Here is a 13,027-nt window from a genome sequence, read left to right as displayed (position 1 = left end):
TAGGCATGGCCAAAAAGATGAGACTCCTTTTCCTCAAAGCTCCCAGTCAAGGGCTAGGGTATCTTTCTGGGAGAGAAAGTTTGCCAGCATCTCTCATCCTCTTTCTCCATGTTCTTTGTTACAGAGGCTAAATTATAGGTTAATCCACCCAAAAAGTCAGAGGCTCTCTTCTTTCATCACTTCTTCACTCATAGGAAGGTAGTGCTACCATAGTCATGGCAATCTGATATTGGGCCCATGTCCTGGCCCTCATTTGCTCACAGGGTAGTGGTTTTAAGTTGGGAGAGAGAAGGTGAGAAGACCAGAGACTACCACCCATATCCACCAACCCACTCATAAAGCAACGATGCTACTCCAAGAAAAGTGACCCACTGTCCCTACCCTTAGGTCTGAAGCAGGTACTCAGAGATTTTTCCTAGTGGTAGAGTCAGGCCGTAAGGACAGAGAACTCTGAAACTCTCCCCAAAGAAACTGACTTTATTTGGAGCACAGTGTCAGGGAGTTCAAGCCTAAGACCACTCTCAAAAACAATGGAGAGTTTGGTGATAAGCAATTAAGAGGAAGCAGTAGCTCCATGAGAGCAGCAAGCTAAATTATAGACCAGCCAGTTTACCAGAGAGGACTGAAAAAAGAGATAGCTAAGAAGAACCCTCCTAGAATCAGAACAAACCTCAAAGACTGGCTTCAAAAACTATCCCTGCAAATGTGTCTGAATTTAACAGGATCAACCAGTGGAGCAATTAATCCATAGGGTACTATTGAACACAATAAAGAATTTGATTGGTAATTAGTACAGCCTAAGAGCTGGTTGTGACTCAAACAAAGGCAGACAGCTTAACAGAAAGATTAAGGAAAAAGATAGTTGAAAGTGCCCTACTAAACTACTGTCATCCCAGGGTGACTGTGCATGTGACCAAGTCTGTGTCCTCTGAAGAATGACATCAGAAGCTTTATACTATGAGGGAAATAGACTTCACTAAAATAGTACAGCCAACTTACTAAATAAATAAATAAGCAAATAGCAACAAGCCTAGGAGGGAAGAAGGGAAGGGAAAAATCGGTATGCAAAATTGCTACAATATCTAAAAGTCTGTTTTTTTAATAAAAATTGTAACTCTTGCCAAACAACAACAATCAGTAAAGTATAAATCATACACAAGAAAAAAAAAAGGAAGACAACAGAAATTATCTTTGAGAAGGTACAGGTGTCAGATTTAACTGATTTCAAAGCAGCCATTATAAATATATTTTAAAAACTAAAGAAAACCATGATTAAAGAAATAAAGGAAGATACGACAGTGTCTCCTCATATAAAGTAAATAAAAAGATAGAATATATATTTTAAAATTGATCTATAGATTCAACATAATCTCTATTAAAATCCTAGCTGGCTTCTTTGCAGAAATTGACAAGGTGATAAAATTCATATGGAAATTTAAAGTACCCCAGAGTAACCAAAACAATCTTGAATAAAAGAACAAATTTGGAGGAATTTCACTTCCTTATTTTAAAACTTACTACAATGATACAATTAAGACAGTGTGGCATTGGCATAGGGATAGACACACACACACACACACACACACACACACACACACACACACACACACACATATATATATATATATATATATAAATGGATTAGAATTCAAAGTCAAAAAATAAACCCTTATTTACAGTCAACTGATTTTCCACAAGGGTGAAAGAATAGTCTTTTCAACAAATGGTGCTGAGACAATTGCATATCCATATGCAAAAGGATGAAATTAGACCTTTTTTCACATAATGCAGAAAAATGTACTCAAAATATATCACAGACTGAAATGTAAGAATTAAAATTATAAAACTCTTAGAAGAAAATATGAAGGACTAAACCTTTGTGACCTTGGGTTTCTCCATCAATGCACATCATAATAAAATTGATCAGAACCAGAGATAAAGAGCAAAAGGTAAAAACAGCCAGAGGAAAAAAAAAGGCATATCTACAAAAAGCAACAAAGATAAGAACAGCAGATTATTTGTGATAAACAATGCAAGCCAGAAAAACGTTGAGTAACATGTTTAACAAATTGAAGTTAAAAATGTATCAACGTAAAATTCTATACACGGTGATAGTTATCTTTTTAAAATAAGGATGAAATAAAAACTTTTCAGACACACAAAAGCTGAAAGACATCTTCACTAGCACATATGCAACACAAGAAATATTAAAGAAAGTCTTCAGGCAAAAGTAAAATTATATCAACTGGAGCAGAAGTTTGTTAAAATGCTGATTCCTGGGCTCAGACCCCAAGGACTTATCTCCATAGTTCTGCAGTATGGCTTAGGCACATGGTATTTTATTTTCATATTTTTTTCTATTTATTTTAATATATAAAACATACACATGCCAGAAAATATAAAAAGTACGAAGTGTTGGTAATCACTGGAAGTAGGTAATAGATGCATGGTTCACTATACTGTTCTCTCTACTTTTATCTACTCTGAAATTTTCCATAATAAAAAGTTCTTTTGACTTAAAAAAAAAAAAACAAACCTGATAACAGGCAGAAATTCAGATCTACACAAAGGAATAAAGAGCACCATGTATGGTTCATTAAATGAGTAAATTTATAATATGTTATTATTTAAATATATTTTAAAGATAAATGACTATTTAAAATGCATTGTAGAAAATATAACATACATAAAAACAAAATGTTTGACAATAGCAGCATTAAAACTAAGAAGGAGTCCTCGGCAAAGCCCGAGTCCTGTCCTCTCGCCCTCCTCCCGGAACAGCATGAGCTTCACCACTCGCTCCACCAACTACTGGTCTCTGGGCTCCGTCCAGGCACGACCAGCGTCTATGCAGGTGCCGGGGGCTCTGGTTCCCGGATCTCTATGTCCCACTCCTCCAGCTTCTGGGGCGGCATGGGGTCCGGGGGCCTGGCTGTGGGAATGGCCGGGGGCCTGGCAGGAATGGGAGGCATCCAGAACGAGAAGGAGAACTTGCAAAGCCTGAACGACTGTCTGGCCTCCTACCTGGATGGAGTGAGGAGCCTGGAGACCAAGAACCGGAGGCTGGAGAGCAAAATCGGGGAGCACTTGGAGAAGGGACCCCAGGTCAAGAGACTGGAGCCGTTACTTCAAGACTATCGAGGACCTGAGGGCTCAGATCTTCGCAAATACCGTGGACAATGCCTGCATCGTGCTGCAGATTGACAATGCCCGTCTTGCTGTTGATGACTTTAGAGTCAAGTATGAGACAGAACTGGCCATGCACCAGTCTGTGAAGAGTGACATCCATGGGCTCCGCAAGGTCATCAATGATACCAATGTCACTTGGCTGCAGCTGGAGACAGAGATTGAGGCTCTCAAGGAGGAGCTGCTCTTCATGAAGAAGAACCATGAAGAGGAAGTAAAAGGCCTACAAGCCCAGACTGCCAGATCTGGATTGACCGTGGAGGTAGATGCCCCCAAATCTCAGGACTTTGCCAAGATCATGGCAGACATCTGGGCTCAATATGACAAGCTCGGAAGAACCGAAAGGAGCTGGACAAGTACTGGTCTCAGCCGATTGAGAAGAGCACCACAGTGGTCACAACGCCGTCTGCCAAGGTTGGAGCTTTTGAGGCGACACGACACTCACGGAGCTGAGACGTACAGTCCAGTCCTTGGAGATTGACCTGGACTCCATGAGAAATCTGAAGGCCAGCTTGGAGAACAGCCTGAGGGAGGTGGAGGCCCGTTACACCCTACAGATGAAACAGCTCAACGGGATCTTGCTGCACCTGGAGTCAGAGCTGGCACAGACCTGGGCAGAGGGACAGCGCCAGGCCCAGGAGTAAGAGGCCCTGCTGAACATCAAGGGCAAGCTAGAGGCTGAGATCACCACCTACCGCTGCCTGCTGGAAGATGGTAAGGACTTCAGTCTTGGTGATGCCCTGGACAACAGCAACTCCATGCAAACTATCCAAAAGACCACCAACCGCCAGATAGTGGATGGCAAAGTGGTGTCTGAGACCAATGACACCAAAGTTCTGAGGCATTAAGCCAGCAGCAGCAGGGTACCCTTTGGGGAGCAGGAGGCCAATAAAAAGTCCAGAGTTAAAAAAAAAAAAAAAAGCCTAAGAAGGAAGAAATGGAAGTATACTATTGTAATACTATACATGAATAGCATAATATTACTTAAAGGTAGATAGCAATAAGTTAAAGATGTATACCATAAACCCTAAAATTTAGAGTTGGCCAGGCACAGTGACTCACGCCTGTAATTCCAGTACTTTGGGAGGCTAAGGCAGGTGGATCACTTCAGGTCAGGAGTTTGAGCCTGGCCAACAAGGTGAAACCTCATGTTTACTAAAAATACAAAAATTAGCCGGGCATGGTGGTAGGTGCCTGTAATCCCAACTACTCAAGAGGCTGAGGCATGAGAATAGCTTGAGCGTGGGAGACAGAGGTTGCAGTGAGCCCAGATAGCACCACTGCACTCCAGCCTGGGTGGCAGAGTAAGACCCTGTCTCAATAAATAAATAAATAAATAAATAAAATTTAGAGTTTATCACTTAAATACCACAACAAAGAGTTATAGCTAATAAGCCAACAAAGAAGATAAAACAGAATCATAAAAAGTATTCAGCTAAACCAAAGGAAGACAGAAGAGAAGAAAAAAGGAATAAAGAAACATGGGTCAAATACCAAACAGGGCAAGATGACAGCATTAATAAAATCATTTCAGCAATTACTTTAAATGTAAATGGTCTAAACACCCTAAATCAAAGGCAAAGATTTTCAGATTGGATTAAAAAATAAGATTCAAGGCCCTTCATGGTGGCTTACGCCTGTAATCCCAGCATTTTGAGAGGCCAAAGTGGGCAGATCACCTGAGGTTGGGAGTCCAAGACCAGCCTGGCCAACATGGCAAAACCGCATCTCTACCAAAAATTCAAAAATTAGCTGGGCGTGGTGGCACATGCCTATAATTTCAGCTTCTGGGGAGGGTGAGGCAGGAGAATCATTTGAACCCAGGAGGCAGAGGCTGCAGTAAGCCAAGATGGTGCTACTGCACTCCAGCCTGGGGGACAGAGCAGGACTCTGTCTCAAAAAATAAAAAATCAATAAGATTCAACTGTATGCTGCCTATAAGAGACAGTACTTTATGTATATAAACACAAGGAGTTAAAAGCAAAATAATGGAGAAAGATACACCATGAAAATCAAAAGAAAGATGGAGTGGCTATATTAGTACCAGATAAAGCAGATTTCAGATAAAATATTACCAGGGAAAAAGAAGATCATTTCATAATGATAAAAGCATCAATTCATAAAAAGAATAATGCTAAATGTTTAGGCACACAGTAACAGAGCTTAAAGACATATGAAATGAAAACTGATATAATTGCAGGGAGGGCCGGGCACAGTGGCTCAGGCCTATAATCCCAGCACTTTGGAAGGCCGAGGCAGGTGGATCACTTGAGGTCAGGAGTTCAAGACTAGCCTAGCCAACATGGTGAAACCCTGTCTCTACTAAAAATACAAAAATTAGCCAGGCAGTAGTGGTGCGCACCTGTAATCCCAGCTACTCAGGAGGCTGAGGCAGGAGAATCTCTTGAGCCTGGGAGGTGGAGGTTGCAGTAAGCCAAGATTGCACTACTGCACTGCAGTCTGGGCGACAGAGGGAGACCCTGTCTCAAAAAATATTTTAAAAATTGCAGGGAGAAATTCACAAATCTACAATTATAGTTAGAGATTTCTACAACCCTCTCTCCATAATTGGGAGAACAAGTAAACAGAAAGTAAGTGTATAGAAGACTTGAAAAACACAATCAACCAACTTGACATATTTAACCCATCACAGTCCACTTTCAAGTAGTAATATATCATGGCCACTCTTGTTAAAAACTCTTGGCAAACTAGGAATAGAAGGAAATGTCCTCAACCTGATAAAGGGCATCTTCAAAAACCGACAACTAACATCATACTTAATAGAAAGACTAAATTCTTTCCCCCTAAGAAACAACTGGATATCCATATGGAAAAAAAAGAATTTTGTTCCATACCTGACACCATAATCAAAACATTACTCAAAGTGAATCAGATGTAAATGCAAAACCTAAAAGTATTAAACTTCTAGAAAAACAATAGAAGAAAATCTATCTGATCTTGGGTTAATCAAAGGATTTTGAGATATAACACCAAAAGCGTGACCTATTAAAAAAAACTGATAAATTAGACTTTATTAACATTTAAAGTTTCTGCTCTTCAAAAGACAGCGTTAAGTGAATGAAAAGCCAAGCTACAGACTCAGAGAAAATATTTGCAAGTCATATCTGACAAATAGCTTGTATGTAGAATATATAAAAACCTTCAAAACTCAGGAAAAAACATTTAAAAATGGACAAAAGATCTGAACAAAGATTCACTAAAGAAGATATCAATAGCAAACAAATATTCAATAGAAAAGATATTCAACATCACTACACATTAAAGTAATGCAAATTAAAACCCCAGTAAGGTTCCACTACCCACCTATTAGAATGACTAAAGTTAAGACTGATCATTCTGACTTGGCACGGTGGCTCACGCCTGTAATCCCAGCACTTTGGGAGGCTGAGATGGATCACCTGAGGTCGGGAGTTCGAGACCAACCTGACCAACATGGAGAAACCCCATTTCTACTAAAAATACAAAATTAGCTGGGCGTGGTAGCACATGCCTGTAATCCCGGCTACTCGGGAGGCTGAAGCAGGAGAATTGCTTGATCCTGGGAGGCGGAGGTTGCAGTGAGCTGAGATTGCACCATCACACGCCAGCCTGAGCAACAAGAGCGGAAACTCCGTCTCAAAAACAAAACAAAACAAAAAAAAAACGACAGATCATTCCAAGTACTGGTGAAGATATAGAGCAACTGGAATCCTCATACACTGCTGGTGGGAATGTAAAATGTTACAAACCTTTTGGAAAAGAGTTTGGCATTTTCTTAAAATCTTAAACATTCACCTGCCATATGAGACAGACACTACACTCCTAGGTATTTATCAAGAGAAACAAACGCACATGCTCAGAGCACTCTATTTCTAATTGCCCCGAATGGGAAACAACCCAAATTCAACAGGTGAATGGATAAACAAATTGCGCTACGTCTGCCAAATCCACTGCCCACTCCTCACTGTGCTCCAAATACAAGCAACCAACATTGGTCATTGTCTCAACATAAGCAGAGGCACAGGCATTGTCCATTCACTGCACATTCTTTTGGAGTCTCATCTATGTGGAAAAAGAGGATATTCAAACGACATCGGGGTGAGCCACACTGGGTAACCAGTTTAAGGAGCAGAAGATGGTAGTCAAAAGCTATTTCAAGTCCTCCTTAGCCAGTACTATTTCCTATCATATCTGGATAGGTTTTTTTTATCTCTTTTTAGCATCTAACATTCTCATTTTTAGGGGGACTTCATTTTTCCCCATGTATTTTCAATAGACCGTGGCCCCATCTATTATTTTTGAAGAGGAAAACTCCTGGTGCCAAAAAGTCCACCGATCCTTGGTTCAGACAAGGACTTCCAATTGCTTAATGTCAGATGAATACTGAAAGGTCACCAGAGGATACACCACGGTAAAAACTCTATGAACTCGATACTGAAATTTTCTTGTTAAGCTCATGCTGGAAGGCGGGAGAGTAGAAAATAAGTTGTAAAATGGCCCAGGGCTTAATTTATTTAAAGCTTTGGTTAAAAACGTTTGCTGCTTTGAATTGTTTTAAGAGAAACCACAAAGATGTTCAGTAGTGGAAGAAAAGAATTCCAGAGAGGGCTTTAACTACCCTGTTACCTTCATAGCACCTCCCAGCGGTAATCCACAAAAATGATATTTTTTGTATGGAAAGTTGACCTTTTTCTCAATATTATGCAAATTGAATAAAAATCTGTGCTGTTTTAGATGCTATGCAAGTTAACATGATATCCAAGTAAAAACTCTAAGTTTGCTATGAAATACATCTCTGATTACAGCCAGATTGCTACCTCTGAACATTTTTTAGGCAGAAAAAAATGTAGCCAGCTCATTGGTTTTCTGAGATAAATACCTAAATTTTTGCAACCCAAGACTGTTCTATTTTCTTTACCATCTGGTTCTAGGAACACAGGGACACCATGACTATTGAAGTGTTGAAGATTCCAGATGAAACGTTTTTTAAAATGTAAGCCTACACTGCAGGGCATGGTGTTGTGCCTGGAGTCCCGGCTACGTGGGAGGCTGAGGTGGGAGGATCCCTTGAGCCCAGAAATTCTAGTGCAACCTGAGCAACACAGTGAAACCTCATTTTTAATAAAATATTTTTTAAGCCTACACTTCCTAAATTTTGTATAGTGACTGCACTAAGCACATTATATATTTTCTTCTTTAGTACTCACACTAATAGTATTCAATAACGCTATTGCTTCCTGTTTTTGACAGATGAGAAATATGGGGCATGATGGGAATGGCAAGTGTTGGGAATAAGGGTGTGTAACCACCCTCTTCTCCCAGATGCCTGTGTCCTTGAGCAATCTGCTCTTTGCAAAGAGGTTGGACCAGCCTCTGGGTGATTTCTAACCTCTAACATTAGAGGGCAGTGACTCTAAGCTAAAACGCCCTTGTGGGATCCACCGTGCTGGTATCAAGCCATGAAGAGGAAGCATGTGTGCTACAGAAACTCATAGGTGAAAGCAGCATCTTTTACTGCCTTATACACTTGTAGAGTGGGAAGTTTTCGTTCTGGTTGACACCATGCACAACACATAAGAGAAATGGTTAGACTGTTTGAGGAAGTGCACACTAAAATGCCTGACCCCTGCACAGAGGTGAGTGGATGCCATCTGGCCGAGAGGTTCCTGTTATTAGTATCTAATCAGGTTTCCCTGGTAGCTAGAGAACTGCATGACTTGTTGACTGGAAGGCCTCTTACCTCACAAGGGTGTGGTTTCAGAGGTTTCTGAAGAACAAGTGTGGGAGAACTAACCATGACTAAGGCATCTCAGGTCAATGCAGGTGAATGATTAACCCCAGCTCTCTTTTTTTTTTTTTTTTTTTTTGAGACAGAGTCTCACTCTGTCACCAGGCTGAAGTGCAGCGGCGCCATCTCGGCTCACTGCAAACTTCGCCTCCCGGGTTCAAGCGATTCTCCTGCCTCAGCCTCCCGAGTAGCTGGAACTACAGGTGTGTGCCACCACACCTGGCTGATTTTTGTATTTTTAGTAGAGACCAGGTTTCACCATGTTGGCCAGAATGGTCTCCATCTCTTGACCTCATGATCCCCATGCCTCAGCCTCCCAAAGTGCTGGGATTACGGGATTACAGGCGTGAGCCACTGTGCCCAGCCGACCCCAGTTCTAAGAACTCTTGTTCCATTATGGGTAGGGAGATCATAACTAGGGAAACCATCCAGGTGGTGAGGATGCGAGCCAGAGAAAAGCCAGAGCCTGCCAATTCAGCTTTGGAATGTTCCAGAAAAGCATTCCTGAGACTCTGATAGCATTTATATGCTGGAATGATTTCTATTTCCCTATATAAAGGATATTTTTATTTTCTTACTGGCTAGTACCAAATTCAGAACATGGAGGCTTTAAAAATTATTCAGTGAATAAATGAAAAATAAAACCTTCATTTACATTGAAAACAGGTATTTCTTATATACAATGATTTTTTTCTTCTAATTTATTTTTTCCTAAAAGGAACAAAGGGAAAAAATTATAAAGTCAAGAGCAAAAAATGGATAAATTAGAAAACATAAAACAACACATTTGGTAGACAAATCCAAGAGCTGGTTCGCTGAAGAAAATAGACAATTTGTGTACAAATGTTACCAAGAAAACAAGAGGAGAGTCAACATACATTTGTTGTTAAACAGTAAGTTAATAAGTGAGATTTTGGTGAAAAAAACATTTACTGTGTGTGGAATAGATAATTTTCTAAGAAAATATAAGTGATCAAAACTGATGTTACCAATAAAACTATCAACAGGATTTTTAAAAGTAAACTGATGAATTCTAAATTTCATAGGAAGGACAAACAAACAATAAAGGTCAGACAAAATCTTAAAAAAATGGTATAAGAGGAGAGTGGCCCTATCAGATATTTTAATATATTTTAAAGCTACAGTGATTAAAATTGTGTGGTACTGACACTTGAATACGAAAATCAGCCAAGCATGGTGGCATGCACCTGTAGTCCCAGCTACTTGGGAGGCTAAGGAGGGAGTATCACTTGAGTCCAGGAGTTCAAGGCTGCAGCGAACCATGACTGTGCTACCACACTCCAACCTGGGCAACAGAGTGAGATGCTGCCTTTAAAAAAAAAAAATGAATAAAAAGAAGATCATCTGGAACATCATGTCCAGACTAGACCAAAAGAAATATAGAAATTTAGTATAAGACATAAGCAACATTTCAGATCAGGGAGGAAAGATGTTTTATCTAAATATATTGTGTTGGAGACAAAAAGAATCACAAGGAAATCTTAAATTATGTTGATATTAGTAGTAATGTTAGTATTGATATTTTAAAATTATTTCATACACACAGAAAGATATACACATTGTATGTATGATGTATATACGTAAATACTAGCCAGGATGCAATCAGAGAAGCAGAATCGCTAGAAATAATAGAGCATGAAGGATTCCTAAAGGGATTTGACATTACACAGTTGTGGGAGCTGGCTAGACAGCCTCCGTTTGGCTCTTTACGCCTGACACTGAGCCTGAAGTCATAAGGCCGTGGTCAGGAAGGAAAAATGCATGTGAAATGGGGCCGAGCAGAAATTCCCTTGCCTCACCCCACTGCTACCTCTCCTGTCTTCACACCTGGCCCAGAACTTGGAGAAGCTGCAGGAAGAGATCACATGGGGCCTGGAGGATTCTGCCTCCGGACTCTGTCTGCACAACAGAGGAGCCGGCAGGCCTGCACATGCCATGAGTTCCAACAGGGCCTAGCCTAGCCCAACATTCAGAGGGTGAGCACTGCTACTTCTTGACTGCTGCCTTTCAAATCTCACAAATTTCCCTGTGTCCAACTCTAACCAAACGTCTACCAGGAAGGGAATTCTGGAAAATGTAGTTCTGTTTAACCAAATTGACACATTATTAAGCCACCATTATATACATTCATGTGTGCTCACACACACACATGGACACGTAATCTATTTATCTTTATCTCTACATATGAAATAATTAAGTTAATTTTATTAGGAACCAAGCTATATGATGTAAGAGGGAAAAGATATAAATATAAAATTACAAAATAAAAACCATGAAATATTTAATTTGAATTGAAAAGTATGGGTTGGGTGTGGTGGCCCACGCTTGCAATCCCAGCACTGTGGGAGACCAAGGCAGGAGGATCACTTGAGGCCAGGAGTCTGAAACCAGCCCTTGGCAACATAGCAAGATTCCATCTCTACTAAAAATACAAAAAAAATTAGCTGGGCATGGTGGTGGGCGCCTGTATTTCCAGCCACTCAGGAGGCTGAGGCAGGAGAATCACTTGAAACCAAGAGGCGGAGTTTGCAGTGAGCCGATATAGTGCCATTGCACTCCAGCCTGGGTGACAAGAGTGAAATTCCATCTCAAAAAGAAAAAAAAAAGTAAGTATGAACTCATGATGTATATCCCTTTTGAAAAAAAAAATTAATAGGCTTTTCCCAGCTCTGAAAGCTTGAGAGGCCTAGAAGCCATGGCAATACAGTAGCAGTAAGTATATCTAGCATTCATTTTGTGGTCTCTAAACACCATTTTCCATGGAAAGGAACCAGGGCTTCTTGGAGAAATACTTTTTTATTTATGTGTGTATTTTTATTGTGAGACACTGTCTCACTCTTTCACTCAGGCTGGATTGCAGTGGAATGATCTTGGCTCACTACAGCCTCTACCTTCCAGGCTCAAGCTATCCTCCCCACTCAGCCTCCCGAGTAGCTGGAACTACAGGCTTATGCCACCACACCTGTTTAATTTTTATATTTTTTGTGGAGACGGAGTTTCATTATGTTGTCCAGACTGTTCTCAAAGTGCTGGGACTACAGGCATAAAGAAATATTGAATGTCTTTTTTTTTTCTTTTTTTAAAAATGGGGGTCTCAGCCAGGCACAGTGGCTCATGTCTGTAATCCCAGCACTTCGGGAGGCCGAGGTGGGTGGATCACCTGAGGTCAGTAGTTCGAGACCAGCCTGATCAACAGGGTGAAACTCCGTCCCTACTAAAAATACAAAAATCAGCTGGGTGTGGTGGCACACGCCTGTAATCCCAGCTACTCGGGAGGCTGAGGCAGGAGAATTGCTTGAACCCAGGAGGTGGAGGTTGCAGTGAGCCGAGATCCTGCCACTGCACTCCAGCCCGGGCGACAGAGCGAGACTCTGTCTGAAAAAAAAAAAAAAAGAAAAAGTAAAGAAAGCAATGGGAGTCTCACTTTGTCACCCAGCCTGGAGTGCAGTGGAATGATCATAGCTCACTGCCACCTCCAATTTCTGGGCTCAAGTGGTCCCCTTGAGCCTCAGCCTCCCAAGTAGCTAGGACTACAGGTACATGCCACTGCACCCAGCTAATTTTTAAATTTTTTGTAGAGACAGGGTCTTGCCATCTTGTCTAGGCTGGTCTCAAATTCCTGGGCTGAAGCAATCCTCCTACCTCAGCCACCCAAAGTGCTGGAATTACAGGTGTGAGCCACTGTGCCCAACCCTGAATCTCTTATATCAGAAAGCAAGAAATCTCTGAGACTACAAGGTTAACGCCAAAGGACACAGGAACTAGCTTGAAGAGAAGATTGAAGCATATTGAGTAAAAACTCAACAGTTTATCATCATAGTAAACGAGAAAAAGGGGGTAAAAAAGCCTCAACAACAACACTGCTAGAAACAAAAATGAACAAGTCGGTGGAGGATGTGCTGGGTAATTTTCTGCGTCAGTCTGACTGTGCTGAATGTTGCCTGGATAGCTGGTGAAACATGACTTCTGGGTGTCTGTGAGAGTGTTCTGGAGGAGGGTACCATGTGAACTACACTGAGTAGAGCAGTTGGC

General features: G+C 41.0%; 1 pseudogene, besides 1 other annotated feature; it reads left to right on the top strand.

The window, feature by feature from the left end:
- Window positions 1-3,478: 3,478 nt before the first annotated feature.
- On the top strand, window positions 3,479-4,091 carry KRT18P8 (keratin 18 pseudogene 8; annotated as a pseudogene).
- Window positions 8,827-8,876: an enhancer, noted in NCBI's record as "active region_13077". NCBI's record gives its function as "activates an Ori minimal core promoter by ATAC-STARR-seq in GM12878 lymphoblastoid cells {active_cell/tissue: GM12878}" and the evidence as "EXISTENCE:reporter gene assay evidence [ECO:0000049][PMID:35858748]".

The sequence above is a fragment of the Homo sapiens genome, chromosome 18 (assembly GCF_000001405.40).
Source record: "Homo sapiens chromosome 18, GRCh38.p14 Primary Assembly".
NCBI lineage: Eukaryota > Metazoa > Chordata > Mammalia > Primates > Hominidae > Homo > Homo sapiens.
This window is presented reverse-complemented; position numbering and strand designations above follow the sequence as displayed.